This window comes from Homo sapiens, chromosome 4 (assembly GCF_000001405.40).
Source record: "Homo sapiens chromosome 4, GRCh38.p14 Primary Assembly".
Classification (NCBI taxonomy): Eukaryota; Metazoa; Chordata; class Mammalia; order Primates; family Hominidae; genus Homo; species Homo sapiens.
In genome coordinates this window covers 14,572,959-14,590,721 of record NC_000004.12, presented here as the reverse complement: position 1 = coordinate 14,590,721, position 17,763 = coordinate 14,572,959, and the positions used below count along the sequence as shown (strand labels likewise).

At 37.8% G+C, this 17,763-nt stretch overlaps 1 long non-coding RNA gene across 1 annotated transcript in view; it reads left to right on the top strand.

The window, feature by feature from the left end:
• LINC00504 (long intergenic non-protein coding RNA 504) overlaps positions 1–17,763 on the top strand; it is a 417,705-nt gene that overhangs the window by 297,448 nt on the left and 102,494 nt on the right. The window lies entirely within an intron of this gene.

Sequence of the window (17,763 nt, the reverse complement as noted above, 5' to 3'; positions counted from 1 at the left end):
ACATTTAGTACATTTACAATGTTATGTAAACACCACCCCTGTCTACTTTCAGAACATGTTCATCACTCCAAAGGAAATCTCATACAACTTAAACAGTCATTACTCATGCCTCTCTCCCCATATCCCCTGGCTAGTACTAATTTGCTCTCAGTTTCTAAGAATTCACCTGTTCTGGATATTTCATATGAATGAAATTATAACATATATGGTCTTATGTGTCTACATGATTTTTAATTCTAAAGTAGGCTCTTGTAATTTTAGCTTCATCTTCCATTACTATCTGGAATTAATTATGTTTTGTGAACATAAAGGCTCTAACTGTTTCAAAGAAGATTTTTTTTTAAATTATGGATACATAATGGTTGTATATATTTAAGAGTACATGTGAAATTTTGATACAAGCATACAATGTGCAACGATCCAAATGTGGGTAATTAAGATATCCATCATCTCAAAAATGTATCATTTCTTTATGTTGGGAACATTCTAAATCTCTCTTATATTTTAAAATGTACAATATATATATTGTTTTTATCAGTTTACTTTTAGATTTCTGATTCACTTTGAATTAATTTTTTAGAAGGCCTGAGGTTTAGGTTGAGGTTTTTTTTGTTTTTTTTTGACCTATGCATATGCAATTGTTTCAACATCATTTGTTTAAAAATACTATCCTTTCTCCGTTGAATTGTCTTTGCACTTTTGCCAAAAATCGGTTGAATATATATTTGTAGATATTTTTCTGGGTTTCTTATTCCGTGGCATTGTTCTCTGTGTTGATACTTCCACCAATACACATTGTTTTAAATACTGCAGTTATATTGTAAGACAGGAGGTTGAGACCATCCTGGCCAACACGGTGAAACCCTGTCTCTACTAAAAAAAAAAAAAAAAAAAAATACAAAAAATTAGCCGGGCGTGGTGGCGGGCGCCTGCAGTCCCGGTTGAGGAAGGAGAATGGCGTGAACCCGGGAGGCGGAGCTTGCAGTGAGCCGAGATCGCGCCACTGCATTCCAGCCTGGGCGACAGAGCGAGACTCTGTCTCAAAAAAAAGAAAAAAAAAATTGGCTAATGTAACTCCATCCACTTCACTCTTTCTCTTCAAAATAATTTCAGCCATTCTTTGCCTTTCCATATAAAATTTACAGTGATCTTGTTTATAACTACAAAAATTTTGGTGAAGTTTTGATATTGTTTTTAATCTATGTATCAATTTTGGTGGCATTGATGTGTTTACTATGTAAAGCCTTGTAATCCACCTACATGGTATTTATCTCCATTTATCTAGACATTCTTTGCTTTCTTTCAACAAGACTTTACAGTTTTTCTACATGTAGAACCTGTTTTTGTGTTTTGTTAGATTTATATCTACGTATTTTTTTTTCAAGTGATCGTAAATGGTATGTACCTTAAATTTTTGTTTTTGATAGATTACTGACAGTATGAAAATTGTGATTAATTTTTGTGTATTGACCTTCTATCCTGTGGCACAGTACCTTCTAGGATAATATCTGAAATAAGGTGTTTCTAAAATTAATCTGTAAATGATAACTTAAGAAAAAGCAATTGTTCAACCAGAGATTAAAACACATACACAAAACTGTAATAATAAATACAATATGGTATTTGCATACAATAGATAAATACATCAATGAGACAGAATAGAGAATCCACACTCATGTATATATATGGAAATCCATGTGTGATAAAATTATTTCATTCAGATGTGTTGGAGAATTAAAAAAAAATCATTGCAACTCACTAGTGAAAAGATGGACTTGTTTATATATGACTTTAGAAAATTTGGTTAATATTAAAAATTAACTCAGGACTATACATCCTCAGATATCTTAGAGTATGATAAAAATAACTATTAAGACAAAAATATTACAAACATATAGGGTAATATGTTTATAATTTTGGGATTGTAAAGTCTTCAAAGACAAACAATAACAAACAGCATTATAAGTGAGATCTCTTAAAAATTAAAAATTTCTGCAGGGCACGGTGGCTCGCGCCTATAATCCCAACATATTGTGAGGCCAAGGCAGGTGGATCACCTGAGGTCAGGAGTTCGAGACCAGCGTGGCCAACATGGTGAAACCCCGTCTCTACGAAAAATACAAAAATTAGCCAGGTGTAGTGGCACTCACCTGTAATCTCAGCTACTTGGGAGGCTGAAGCATGAGAATCTCTTGAACCCGGGAGGTGAAGGTTGCAGTGAGCTGACATCGTGCCACTGCACTCCAGCCTGGGCAACAGGGTGAGACTCTATCTCAAAAAAAAAAAAAAAAAAAAAATTAAAAACTTCTATTATTCAAGTACCATGAAGCACAATGTTAAAAAACAAGTAATATCATGAGAAAAAAATATTTAAAATAATATAAAATAATTAGTATCTACAATATGTAATACTTGTAATTCAGTATTGAAGAAATAAACAAATTAGAAATGGAAAAGATATGCGAACCACTTACCAAAAATAAACACAGTGATTAGCATGAATCTTTTTTAGTTAGTAGTCAATAAATTGATTTTTTTTTTTTACTGTCAGCTTGTCAAAAATGTGGCCAAAAACCTGAGGCTACCTAGTGAGGATGTTAGAGAGAGGATAAGAGTATTCTTAAAAATGGCTCTTGGAATATAAATGGATAGGGGCTCTTCATGCAGGAGCCAATATAAGAAAATAAAATAAGAAAATATAGTCTAACAGAAATCATGAAAAAAAGTTTAAGAGCAAAGAAAACTAAAATGGCAGAAATAAAATAAAACAAATGTAATCATTATAAAATATACTAGTTATGTTCCCATTTTAAAGGACAAAGGCTATCTTTTAATTTTTTTTTTTTGAGATTAAAGAGTTGAAAATTTTTCCTCCAGAACTTTGAGTCTATTGTTCTGAAGTTTTCTGATGCTTGGTGTTGATGCTAGAATGGTGATGCTCTCATTTTGGTTCTTTTGTATGTGAATTACCCTTTTCTTTAGAAAAGTAATCATTGATGTTGTGCACGTATGAAGACATGTTAATATGTGGGCCTTTTTGTTTAATTAATTGTGCTTATTTATTAGCTGTTTTAATTTGAGCGGTTGTTCATTAAGTCTGAGATTATTCTGAATTACTTCGATTTTTCTTAATTTCTTCTCCTCTTATCATACTAGTACCCCCCACCAAGACATTTATGTAATGAGCATTCATATTTGTTTTCTATTGCCTTAATTTTATGTTTATTTGTGTTTTTGCTCTATGCTCTGGAAACGTTTTTCACATTTTATTTTTCTTTCCTTTTTTCTTTCTTCTTTAAAAAATATTTCTCTGTTTTCTCATATAAATGTATTCCTTTTTGTACTTCTTGAATTTTATTTTGGTGGGGTGTTTGTAGAGACATGAGGTGGGGTTTCAGGAGAGACATTAAGAACTCAGTCCCTATGTTTTAGGAATTGAGTCTCCATATTCAACCAGGCAGAATTTACCTATTGAGAAATAAATGAATGTTCAGATTCTCCAAAGAATTAGTTGAACGAATGAGTGAGACTTAGACATAATTTGGAAACTCCCAATAGAGAGGATAATCAATTTAGATAGCAAAATCAAAACAAGATTTTCCAGGTTACGATAAATTTAATTCGGTTCCAGTAATATTTTTCAATCTATTTGAAGTACTTTGTTTTTTATTTTGAGCAGTCTGTGAAATTAAACTGAACACACTTTGATTCTGCCATTTGTTTCCAGAGTAAGTTTTGTCCTGGTGTTCAGTAACAACCCAGCAGATCCTACACAGTACAATTTCTCTACAGTAATTTAGCCAAATGTCACTCATTCCTTTCTGACCTCTCATCTCTCACTCATCCTTTATTCGTGGGATTTTGAAGACATTGATGGAACAGAAACAGGTTCCAGCTTTCATCTTGTTCCTCTCCTGCACACCGTGTACAATCTGGCCATGCAGCCTGCTATTGTCTGTGCACATCTTGAGCGCTTTGACCTCCATGCTATTGTCCCCTAGAATGCGTTTCCTCATTCTGTTCTATAATCAACACAAATTGGGGTAGTTGCTCTGCTTACAAAGGCATTCCCAATGACTATGCCGTCCCTACACTGGCCACTTTTTACTGATACACACTGTGCCAATTTTATTCTCTCTCCTGATAATTTGAACAAAGGAACAGAGATGTCTATTTGTAAAATGCAGCTGAAAATTAGTTATTTCTTGGTTGCATCCTAGAGAGAAGAGTTATATGCTCCTTTTGCTAGCATTTTCAGAGAGGTGCTGGTTCCTGAATTTCCTCAAGCTTGATAATGAAATTCCGCTTTATGAATCTTTCTAACAAATCTTACCTTTTCCTTAACAGAACCGTTAAAAAATGTTTTTATTTTCCCTGCTTTCAGGTACATGCCACCAAGGAGTTTTAATCTAACTTAAATCCCATCTCCTCAGGTCCATCTTTGCTTGCTTTTTTTTTTTTTTTTAAGTTTTATTCACTTATTTATGTTGTATTTTTATTTTTGAGTTCAAGTGTACAAGTGAGGTTTGTTACATGGGTAAATATGTATCACAGGGGTTGTTGTACAGATGATTTCATCTCCCAAGTATTAAGCTTAGTACCCATTAGTTATTTTTCCTGATCCTCTCCTTCCTTCCACTGAAAGGCCCCAGTGTGTGTTGTTCCCCTCTCTGTGTCCATGTGTTCTCATCATTTAGCTCCCACTTGCAAGTGAGAACATGTGGTATTTGGTTTTCTGTTCCTGTGTTAGTTTGCCAAGGATAATGGCCTCCAGCTCTATCCATATCTCTTAAAGGACATGATCTCATTCTTTTTTATGGCTGCATAGTATTCCACAGTGTCTATGTACCACATTTTTTAATCCAGTCTATCATTAATGAGCATTTAGGTTGATTTCATGTCTTTGCTATTGTGAATAGTGCTGCAATGAACATATGTGCGCATGTGTCTTTATAATAGAATAATTTATATTCTTTTGGTTATATACCCAGTAATGGGATTGCTGGGTCAAATGGTAGTTTGTCTTTAGATTTTTGAGGAATCTCCACACTGTCTTCCACAATATTTGAATTAATTTACTTGCTTGCTTTTTAAGGGCAGGTTTAAAGTCTTTCTGTACAAGGAAACTTCATGGCCTTATCCAACTAGAGGGCTTCTCTCCCATCCTCTGCAATCTCACAGTCTCTTGCCTTTACCTCTCTCATGGCAATCACCTCTCATACCTTGACTGAAGTATACTTACAGTGGCAAACATCACCATATAGGAGAATAGCTATTCCTTAAGGGCATAGTTTCCATTTTGCTTTTCTCTACAATACCTTGCACACGGCAAATGATCAGTAAGAATCAGTTCAATTTATTAGTTACATGTTTAAAAAGGGCTTCACTGATTTGGCAGAAGACACTAGAAGAGCCATTGGTTCAGAGGCCATTTTCTTAATAGAAGCTACTACTTTGTATGTGTCCTGTCTGGACTGTCTCATGTTGTCCTCCCGTTATGGACTGAAAGTCCATGTTCCCTTAAAGTTTATTGAAATCTTAATTTCCAATGTGATATTGTTTGAAGGTGGAGCCTTTGAGAGGCAATTAGGTCATGAGGGTAGAGCCCTGGTCAATGAGATTAGTATCCTTGTAAGAAGTGACCAGAGGGCTAGCTCACTATTTTTTTCTGCCATGTGAGTATAAAAGGAGAAGTCAGCAGAGGGCCCTCAGCAGAACCCAGCCATGCTAGAAACTTGATGTTGGACTTCTAGCCTCCAGAACCGTGAGAAATACATTTCTGTTATAAGCCACTCAGTCTATGGTGCTTTGTTGTAGCAGCATGAACAAATAACACCTAACCATGCTGCAAAGTAGATAATATTATGTTCACTCTCCAGATAAGAAAAATAAAGTTTAAAGAAGGGGAAACAATTTGTCCAAGGTTGCATATGATTCATAAGTGGAGCTGAGCTTGAACCTCTGTTACTGCAAGATAGAAGATGTTGTGAAAAGAGTCACTGAGACAATTCCCAGTGGGAATAAGCAAGTGCTAGAAGAAAATATTCTCATTTATCCAAAACCTGGAAATAGAAAGAAGCAATGTTTATTTTTAGGCCTGAACCATTAAGGGCATCAGCATGAGCATCATCAGCCATTTATGTGCTTGTGGACCTGTTAGACTCCAGGTATTCAGAGTCAGTGAATTACATTTTCAGACCACTCATCAGAGGAAGGCATTTTTACCCCCATTTTAGAGACTAGAAAGCTGAGACTTGCAGAAAAATGCCATGCTATATTTGTACAGAGAGTAACAGAGTAAAAATTCAAATTTAGATCTTGTCTCATTCTTCAATGATTTTTTTCACTGTGCTGCATTGTGTTGGCAAAAATCTTGTGACTAAAGAGTAATGATTAAAATCATAATCAAAGATGGTAGATCAATCCTATGTAGACACCTCTAATGAATGAGTCTGCATGATCCCAAGTGAGTCCTCTCCTGTACCATCATGGGAATGTCCTGATCTCTTTTTGACCAACATTTTTATAAAGGATATACACAAAGATAAAAGCAGGTTCCTTGTGAAGTTTGCTAACAGGCATAATAGGGAGGGATTCGTAGCTCATATGATTAACAAAGGATATGCGATTAAAATAATATTCAGAGGTATGGACGCTGAGGCAAAAACCAAACCAAATGAAACCAAAACAAAAAAACAGTAAAAGTGAAATTGCGCACGAGAAAAGGTTACAAACTCATTTCGTAAGTGCAAGAAGAGACTCCTGACTGGGCAGCTGTTCACTAAAAAATAGCTGAGGATTTAGCTGATCATGTGCTTTCCATCTACCAGCAAAAGAGTGAAGGGTTGAAACCAGCACTGCTGGTTCCAACCACTATAGTCCCATGATTTTGTGCAGTAGACAGGTCTTGGTAAAATATTCCATCCTTGTGCTCCTTTCGGAGGATTATAGGAAAACCAGAGGCCAGAGAGGTCTGTGCTTGCTCATTTGAGTGCTAGTCCTTCTGCTTGGAAGGTCTTTTCCAGGTGCTACCAGGTGAAGTCAGCTGGTCCTGCAAGTCTACCCTTAAGCATTTTCTTCCGTATGAAGACTTCTTTGTTATCTCTGGGTAGAAGGTGCTGCTAGGAAAAGAATGACCACAGGCTGAATTGGTGGGAGTGTAGTTCTCCCCACTACGCAGGGAGTCCTGTTTGCTGGATTCCCCAGTCCACACCTCATGACTCATAACCTATGAGGTACTTTGCAAGCATTATAGGTCATCCTCATTATGTAACTTTGAGCAAAACATTTTCTTAATATTTACTTGACACCTAGTATGTCAACTTATCAGCAAGGAAGGCTCAATACATTGTTTATATTTGGGGCCTTTAAACCACTCTTTATCCATGTAACATAGTAAAAGGTGAACATTCTCTCCGTGTGCTACAATGCTCCCTTTCAGATCAGTGCAGTCAGAGCTGTGTCAAATAGTATATTGTGAAATATTGGATTTCACAGAAAGACAGAGGTTCAATTTATTTTTTTGTTGGCATGCCCATCTAATCAGAAGAATAGGCCCACCACAGATTTTTCTTTAGACATGATACCTAAGGAAGATGAAAGTGCAATTATATTCTGCTGTTGTGCGGCCATTTGAAAGGAGCTAATGCAGGTGTTCGAGATAGAAACTTGGAGACAATGGATGCCTCGCAAACAATGAGTTGTGGGACATGGAGCTAGTGAGAGAGGGATGGGCATTTTTAAAATGATGACAAGCAACAATAGGCTTGGGAGTCATTTCAAGTGTCTGTCAGGCATCAGTCAAACAATAATTCTCTGTTTGTTTGTTGGGAGCCAGTGAACTTACTGAGAGAACACTTTCAACTTGACTGAACATAATTGCTTCCTGAAATAGATTCTGATGAGTGAATTGAGACTACTCCTTTCTAGCTGTAGCCTTTTAGTTTTTTAGAATTTACAAAGCACTTTCCCACACACCATCTCAAGCCTTGTTTTGACCTCTGTGCTAGGTGGTGGCAATGCGACATTGAGAAAAGCAGATCAATTTATGCCCTTGGGAAGGTAATAGTACAGTGGGACAGACAGACATTAAGCAAATCATCCCTTAAGCAAGTATGCAATTGAAATCCTTTTTATTACACCAGTAGTTTTTGTTTTTAGTTTTAAATTCAGTCCATTCGAGGTGCTTCTGAGGCAGCTGTGGGCAAAAGGGGCTTGAAGGAAATGTCTTGTCCCCATCCTGTTTCAATTAATAGCACTCAGATTTTGTTTGATAGATTGGTGTTGGTAGTAAGCTTTTCCTTGGAAAATAAACTTTATTACACACAGAAAGCCAAGACTGCTGCACTCTACGTTTAGGAAAATGAGTAGTGTGCTATGTGATAGAATAATTGTATTTTTCAGGAGGTGCCACTGTTTCTAGGCATAGCACCTTTGTGTTTATCTTCTTGAATCCAGTGTATATATTTACCTGGAGGAAGTTTCTAAGTCTTTTTATTGAGGGAAGTTTCATTCTGTCAGATTCCTGTATGGGGCTCCAGCAGGGTGTCAGTGTACGACAGCCACCTGGCTCACCAGTGTCACATGGACCCACCTGTTAGGGCCCCTGCAGCCTTCACTCGTTGTTAGATGCTTAGGGTGCCATTTCTGCTCAGAAGAGGTAGCTGACCTTTGTAAGACAGGCCTACCCTCTTTACAAATCACTATGCAAGTCTGATTGCCTCTTGAAAGGTCAGCCTTATTATCTTGGCCTTTGGCTGATCTGACCCTTGGCTTCCCTCGGGCCTTTTCTTTGGGGTCAGTTGCAGGGGTTAATTAGCAGAGGGAGAGGATAATCACACTCACCAAGCCCTTGGCTTCAGCATGTCCCCCAGGATTGGCATGGCCACTCTGAAGAGAAAGTGCGGATAGTGGAAACAGCAAACTCCTTTGCTTCCCCTACTCTCACCCTGATCAGTCCCTGCTGTGATACCACACACATTTAAAGGATTTCATTTGAGAAAATTGAGGAGCCCTCTTTAGTGTCACTGTTTTGCAGTTTCTTGCAACACTTAACAGCCATTTGGACAAATTTGGATAACTCATGAGATCTCGCTGCACCTTCTCCCTTATCTGCAGAATGGGTGGGTGGGCCAGGTGGCCCTGAGCTAGCCATACCAGTGGGAAGACTCAGAGGCTCTTTGGCATAAAGTTTAACAATCATAGTTAAAATCATATCTTCAATTTAATCCGTTGAATATATCCTACTTAGACCCTTAAATTATTAGTCTCTTTACCTACAAGCTCCAGCTATAACTCTTCCTGTTAGGAAGATCAAATGAGATGATATGTATGGGATCACCCTCCTTCTCAGCATCAGCAGCCATGCTCTGGTTCTTAACCTGTTTTACCTGTCCTTGTTACCCTCTTCCTCCATCATTTACTATTTCTCTCCTCTTACTTTCAATCATTCTGCAATCCTTCCATCCTCTTTAAGTTCCCTAAAAATATTGCATTTAGACGTGCATTACATGATACAACTTATGACTCATGAGTCATTCCTTCCTATCATCAATCATTCACCATCGATGTACTGAACATCTTCTAAATGCAGGATCCTGCACCAAGTCTGGGGATACCATAAGACAGTAAGAAGTACTACCCTCAATGAGTTTATAGTCTTCTAGGAAGGCCAGCTTCAAGGATGTGGTTTCAACAACAAGTGAAAAACATTCGATAGCATATTTAGTAAAGGGAACCTATTATAATTTATAGATTGAGATTGAAATGAGTCAGTCCACACTAAATAAACACGTATCTACTCAGTTCCAACTATGTACAATGTTCTATTCTAGGTGACGGTCATTCAGCAGTTAACAAAGCAGACAAAATGTCTTGCACCCTTGAAAGTTATATTCTATTGTTCACATGTCCCTGGGTTGTGGAAAATGAGAGGAAGCATGGAAGAGATGAAGTGAGAGTTTGCCTGGTATTCAGAGTGCACTGGGTTCCAGATATGGCCACAGAGGGTTGCAAAGCCAGATCACATGAGGCCCTTGCAGGGCCTCTTTCAATTAATTATGACTTAAGACTATGCATCATTTGAAAACCATTTTTGAATTTACTCTGAAATTATCATGGAGGAGAGTGGCTGCTGTACTGAAGAGTAACCCTAGTAGAATGACCCATGTGGAAATTCATTTTGAAGTTTGAAATGAGACTTTTCCTATCCTGTCTCAACTCCTCTGGGCCATTGAGACTTTTCTTACTGTGACAATAAAATTTAGTAACTCACCATGGTTTTTCTTTTTGCTCTGGCTGCCAGAAAGTTTGGAGACAAATTAGATATTAATCTTTTTACTTAAATTATTTGCTTCCTATTCATTTATTTGTTTTTTTTTCACATCACTAGATAAATACCCTTTTTGAGGTGGTTTAGTCTACATTCAAAATATGGATTCTGATTAGAAGACTGTCAAAAATGCTGACTCAGAATTACCTGCTGTTATCATCCTTTTTTTTTTTTTTTTTTTTTACTACATCTCAAGTAGCATATAATGCCAAAAAACAATAACAGGGACCAAGAAAGTAGACTTCTCTCTTGCATGAAGCTTTGACATCTGTCATTGCTTATATTTTTACTTTCATCTCTCTACCAGCTTAGTTTCTTTAATTGTTTGTGTTCCTTTCTCCCTGCTAACTATGTCTGACCTATGGCTTTGTCTACTTGTCTACCTACATCTCTTATGCTTTCTACTGGTAATTCTAGATAGTCTTTTTTTTTTTTGCTTTTTCTCATATTACCGTTTACATTTGTGTCTCTTTTTTCCCATTATAATTAATAAGTGGATCACCTATGTTGTTAATTTTAGATGTCAACTTGACTGGGCTAAGGGATGCTCTGGTAACTGGTAGAACGTTATGTCTGGGTACGTCTGTGAGAGTGTTTCTGGAAGAGATTAGCATTTGAATCAGTAAACTGAGTGAAAAAGATCCACCTTCACCAATGTAAGGGGCATCATTCAATCCAATGAAGGCTCTAATAGAACAAAAAGATAAAGGAAGGAGAAATCTTCTGTTTCTTCTTGAGCTGGGATATCCATCTTCTTCTGTCCTTGGACACCAGTGTCCCAGTTCCAGGGCCTCCAGACTTGAACTGGGACTGACATCACTGTCTGCTCTGATTCTCAGGCTTTGGATTTGAACTGGGACTGACATCACTGTCTGCTCTGATTCTCAGGCTTTGGATTTGAACTGGAACTACATCACCAGCTTTTCTGAACCTTCAGAGTGCAGACAGCATATGGTGGGACTTCTCTGCCTCTGTAATTGTGTGAGCCATCTTTCAGAATTAACATCTATCCATCAATCTATCCTACCTGTATTTAAATGTACTATTGGTTCTGTTTATCTGAAGAACACTGATTAATACAGCATTTGATTGAATAATTTTTAAAATTCCAGGCCATAAGTCATACTTTCGATGTCATTGAATATTCTGCCTGTGGGTCAGATGTGCATGCTTGTCTACATGGCTGTGGCTAGCTGAGATCAAGCTATGTGGTACCAAATACAGTGGCTGTTTCTCACCACAGATGGAGAAAGTATATTTAGAAGAAGGGAAGGGTGGAGCGGGAACAATTACATCCCTAATTAGGTGGCTTTCCTGGTACAGGCAGGGGGATGGGTGGATAATCTTGATATGCCCACCCCTCAACACTGTGATGCTCTGGCATGGGCTGTGCAATCTTACTTATTGGATTACTTACTGGAGCACCCTTTCTTCTCACAGCTGCTTCTTTCATTTTCCTCCCATGCTGATCTCGTGCTCATCTTGAGACCCAGTTCTTTCCTTACTGGTCAAGGATGGTTTTCTCTGCTTCTATCCCTGTGCAGAAGCCTTCCATTTCAATCCCAGATAACCCTGTGCTTTCCTCTGTTCTAATATTTTGCCACTTTATTAGATTTGCCTTTTTCCTTATTTGACTCTACTGTGTCCTGACAACCTGAACAGGGTTAACCTGTCATTACTGCACTTCTAGCTCCTGAGTCAGTGTCTAGCCTGTAGTAGGATACCCCATAAGAAGGAGGCAAGGGATTGGGACTGTCCTTTTTCTATCCCAAATCAGGATAAGAACCTTTATTCTGGAGCAGGGATAAAGCAGGTGCTCCAACATAGGTACAGCCATACTCCAGAGCATTTATTCAGCCATACTTCAGACATATGTATAGCCATCCTCCAGAACATCTGTATAGCCATACTCCAGATAAAGAATAAAAAGTTCCAGTCCCCACATTGAGATCACAACCAAGTGTTCCTTTCCATGGGAAGGGCTTCTTAACATGTCTTTCTTTTCCATTCTGTTCTAGTCTCTACTTTAGACCTGTACTTTGTGTCAACTTGTCCCATGCTTATCATCTAATAACGTAACATCTCTTCTCTTCTAGGTCTTCTATATGACCCTTATTGGCCTCATATTTAAATCTAACCCTTGCTTTTTACTTGAAGTCTCCTGACACAAAGTGTGAGGCATTTTTTTTTTTTTGGGATTTGGGTACTTAGAATATTATGTATATGAGAACCAGCTCCACTTCTCTGTAAGTACGTGACTGTGAACAAGTTACTTAATTTCCTCATCTCTAAAGTAAGAAGCACAAGCCCTTCTCTGGTCACTTAAAGAGCTTCTAATACTTTTCAATGAGATAAGCACTAAAGAGAGTTTCCTAAGCACTTTGCATTTTTTTAACTTTTATTTTAAGTTCAGGGGTACAAGTGCAGGTTTGTTACATATGTAAACTTGTGTCATGGAAGTTTTTTGTACAGATTATTTCATCACCCAGGTGTGAAGCCTAGTACCCATTAGTTATTTTTCCTGCTCCTCTCCCTCCTCCAACCCTCCACCCTCCAAAAGGCCCCAGTATGTGTTGTTCCCTGTCTGTGTCCATGTGTTCTCATCACTTAGCTCCCACTTATGAGTGAGAACATAGAGTGTTTGGTTTTCTTTTCCTGTGTTAGTTTGCTAAGGATAATGGCCTCTGGCTCCGATCATGTCCCTGCAAATATTAATAACAATTACTATTCAAAATTTTTTTTCTGGCTTCATTCTATCTCCAATATTCTTGGCTTATTAACATAATTACCTTGGCAATATAGCTTCCTAAAACTGTGTGAACTCAATTTAATAAATATTGATCTCCTGTGATATTGACTTTATTGAACACTTACTATTCCCTGGAGGCTACACAAATTACATCATTGAAACCAGACACAAAGAACTTGAGAAAAAATATTTTTATTTACCTTTGCCTGCATATAATTGTATTGAGGCTTACAAATGTTTAATAACTTGATCCAAGTTTCACATCAAAGTGGTAGAGTTAAGATTTAAACTCAGATCTCAATGACTCCAAAGTCGATGCACTTAACCGTTATTCTTTTCCACCCTTTATGTCCTGTGGCCCCAAATGAATCACTTTTGGTATCTAACTAATTTTCTCTCACAATTTTTTCAAATATTATGCTGGAAACTCTTCTGAAATTCTTATCAAATTAATGGAGAGATTTGTGCTAATACTCACATAGCACTCAATGAATCTGCCTGTGGGCTCTATGTTCCTTGATTGGTGACTCATTTTCTCCCTGTAATTTTGGTTTCACTTGTCATTCTATCTAATTGAATTCTAAGCTTCTTAGGAAAGATTGGGAGTGATATCTGCATACTGTATTTCTTGCCTAGTTCATTTTTTGTCATAAATTGATGTAAAAAGGTCATTACACTGTAATATGAGGAATAAAAGTTTGTTATATATACATATCACAATGTTCAATTTCCAAATTCTCCCAGGCAGCAAAAACCATCAACTCAGAAAATGGATACTGAAACTTTTGGGTTGTAAGAGGATTGAGAAAGCCCCTAATCCAGACTTTTTATCTTGGAGGGGAGAAGATGGAGGCACAGATCAGGAAAAGAACTGATCTTGAAGAGCTAGGGTATCAGCTATGGATTTCGATTGCTTCAAATTCTCATCTTTTATATGACTCTTTATTGTGCATTTAAGAATGGCAACATGGAAGCATGAAAACAAGAAGAGACTAGAAGTGAGGAAAACAAATTCTGGGTCTTCCTCTGTGCACCTGCTGTTTGGTGCTGGACGTGGTACTTCGTGCTTATTTAGCTCCCCTGAAAATGCAAAACAATGGCTCATGTTCAGGGGATCGTATTATCGTCTAGAATATAAAGGCTCGGAAATTCTATTCTTTGAGGTTTGCACTCTATGCTACACAGTGGAGAACATGGCATAAAAGACATAGTGTGTATTTTAAACAGTTTCATAAATAATTCCATGCCAATCATACACACATACACTTGCACAGATACACAAACACACACTTCTTGTAGCCAAGAATGGCACACCAATTTTGCATTGAAATCCATGAAAATGATAACTCATGTTGTACAAATTCAGAGGTAGGGAGATCATTACATCATTGTCAGGTCAGTTCTTATGATAAAACCAAAGTTTTCAACTAGGCTTTTATGGACCACATAGAAAAGAATGGGAGCAGTGACCCCAACAGAAAGTCCAGCACCTTCAAATGTAGAGAAGTGGTGAGTGCATAGGTGATCACGTGACTGGCACGAAAGCCAATTCTTACCATGGTGATTAAAATGTTTGAAAAGAAACAGTAACTTTGATTCCTTTGTTCAACAAATTGTATGAAGTTCTTACTATATGTGGGGCCCTGTGATAAACTGCAAGATACAGGGTTTGCAGGGCTGATTCACTACTCTACAAGAGAACCACTAATTATAAATGGTTAAAACTTAGATGAGATGAGCATCATGAAGCAAAAGCCCCCAAAACTGGAAGTGAAAACAGGCAATCCAATCAATCTGTTCTCTGAAATATCTGCCACACTACCTACCGTCTCCTTTACCTCCACTTTCTTTAATGCTTAGAGATAGTCACTGCCCTGCAGTGCCGTGTAGTCTTGGTGTATGGCTGTTCAACTGCATCTTTCTCTTCTACTGTGTTTAAACTTATAGAGACCAAGGATGATACCTGTATTCCTAGTGCTGAACCCAGAGCTTGGCATATACTGGGCAGAGTTGAGGGAGTGAATGATCATCTTTCCTCCTTTTTAAAGAGCACATTGCTACTCACAGCTTTTCTCTAAGTGTATTGCCATGATGCTTCCAATGCTTTAGTGAACTATCAGGGTAGAATGAGTTCATATAGGGGCCAGCCTTCTTTGTCCTGATACTGTGTATATATTGTTGCTTAGCAATTTTGTGGTGGAAATGTTACTTTGTCTTCAGGCAAACACAAGCTCTGTTTGAAAGAAGAGCAATAGTATAATTTACACATTTATGCATGGGGCTGCATCAGACAGTGGCATCATTAACTGCAAAGAGGGGTGGAGAAGCAAGAGGTATCTGAGAGTCGTCCATTCTTGTTTTGTTTTTGTTTGTTTGTTTTTGAGACTGAGTTTCACTTTTTTTGCCCAGGCTGGAGTGCAATGGTGTGATCTCGGCTCACTGCAACCTCTGCCTCCCAGCTTCAAGCGATTCTCCTGCCTCAGCCTCCCAAGTAGCTGGGATTACAGGCGAGTGCCACCATGCTTGGCTAATTTTTTGTATTTTTTAGTAGAGACGGGGTTTCACCATGTTGGCCAGTTTGGTCTTGAACTCCTGACCTCAGGTGATCTACCCACCTCAGCCTCCCAAAGTGCTGGGATTACAGGGGTGAGCCACCACGCCCAGCCCCCAGTTTTTGTTTTGGAATGTTGCATTGCCATTCCTTTTTCCTAACTCAAATATTACGTTTGCAATGGAGAATGGATAGGATTTCAGAGGAGGATTAAGTAAATAAGTCGTATTAAAATGACAAAATGGGTAAATAGAATATAATGTGGAATGAAATGTAAATTGGATTTAGGCAAACACTTTTATACAGTCTTACCACCCAACCCTATCCAACTGCTTCAGATTCCTACAGTGGCTTCCGTGCATGGTTCTATTACATGGTGCCACTCAAGGGCATTTGATGTTTTCTCGCTCTGGAAATTCATTTGCATTTAAATGATTTGAAATAATCATAAAAGCCAAGTGCTATGAAGTTTGAAATTAGTTACTGTCTATAAATTGCAATGCCATTAAAAGATGATTGTGGAGAGCTTTGCTGTCTCAAATGTAGACAGATTAAAATCTAACAAAGTACATCTTGTTACAAACCTGTAAAGAATGATGGGATATAGAGTTAAATTGATTTATTCTCCTGCTTGTGCCTATAAACTTAATGCACTTGAGTTTATTCTCAGAGTAACAAACTTTTTTTATCTGGCCTATATCTATCCTTTTTAAATCTATGGCTGTTTTATAGAAGTTGCTAGATTTTATTCTTACCCTTTATTTAAAAATGAAAAGAGGGTTGCATTTTCTTTTTAAACTAGATAATCTGGGCAGCATGTTTTGGAAGAGAAGCTTAAAAACCAGTAGGTGCATGTTTAAAGGGCTGAGGTAGGAGTTATCTCCAACACAGAAACTTCTACACTATCAATCCTGCAAGACCTATATGACAGTATTGCAGTCATTAAAAGCGCAGGTGCAGAAATCAGATATTTTGGGTTCAAATGACAGTTCTGACGATTACTTAGCTGTGTGACCCTGAGTAAGTTTCTTAATCTTTCTGATTCCAGCTCGAGAATAACAACAACAATATCTATATCAGGATTATTTAGGATCATGATGAGAGTAGAAAGAAATAATGCACTTAAGCTTCTAGAGCCTTGGGCATGGTAAATATTCAACAAGAGTTAGTTATTATTTTTTACGAGGAATATTCAAAGTGTTCCATCTTTTGTCTCTTGGCCTCAATTCTGGAGACGGTTTTTGCCCATGTCCTCAAAATTATCTGATGCTTCTTCCGTTAAAAAGTACACTTTATATTCCTTCCCGTAGAATCCAGCCTTTTGATTTTTGACTAATAGAACACAAAGGAAATGACACCATGCCAGTTTCCAGGCTCAAGGTGAAAGGAAATGGCAGTTTCCATTTCCTTGCTCTTGGAATGCTCATTTTTGAAACACAGCCACCATGCTATGAGGAAGCTAAAGTCACCCTAGGAGTGACCCATGTTCAGAGACGCTAATAGCTAGCTGTGCTAGTTTGATACAACTGCCAAAATAAAGTAGCACAAATTGGGTAGGTCAGACAACACAAATTTGCCTCACAGTTCTGGAGGCTAGAAGTTTGAGATCAAGGCTTGGTGAGTGTTGGCTCCTTGTGAGGACCGTGAAGAAAGCATCTGATCCAGGCTTGAGAAGCTCCTTGGCTTCTCAATGGCCATCTTCCTCCTGTGTCTTCACAGTCTTTCCTCCGGACTTGTCTGTTTTCAAATTTTCCCTTCATATAAGGATATCAGACATATGGGATTAGGACCTACCCTAATGACTTTATTTTAACTTGATTACCTCTATAAAAACTTGATCATCAAAGGTCACTTTTTCAAGTACTGGGGAGGATAGGACTTCAACATATGAATTTTGGGGGGATACAGTTAAACCCGTAACACCAGCACTTACTCGCCAGTCATGTCAAGATGTGTGGGCATCTGACCCATAGGCAGAATATTCAGTGACATCCAAAGTATGATTTATGGCCTGGAATTAAACAGTGACTCAATCAAATGCTGTATTAATCAGTGTTCTTCAGAGAAACAGAACCAATGGTACGTTTAAATATAGGTAAGATAGATTGATGGATAGATGTTATTTCTGAAAGA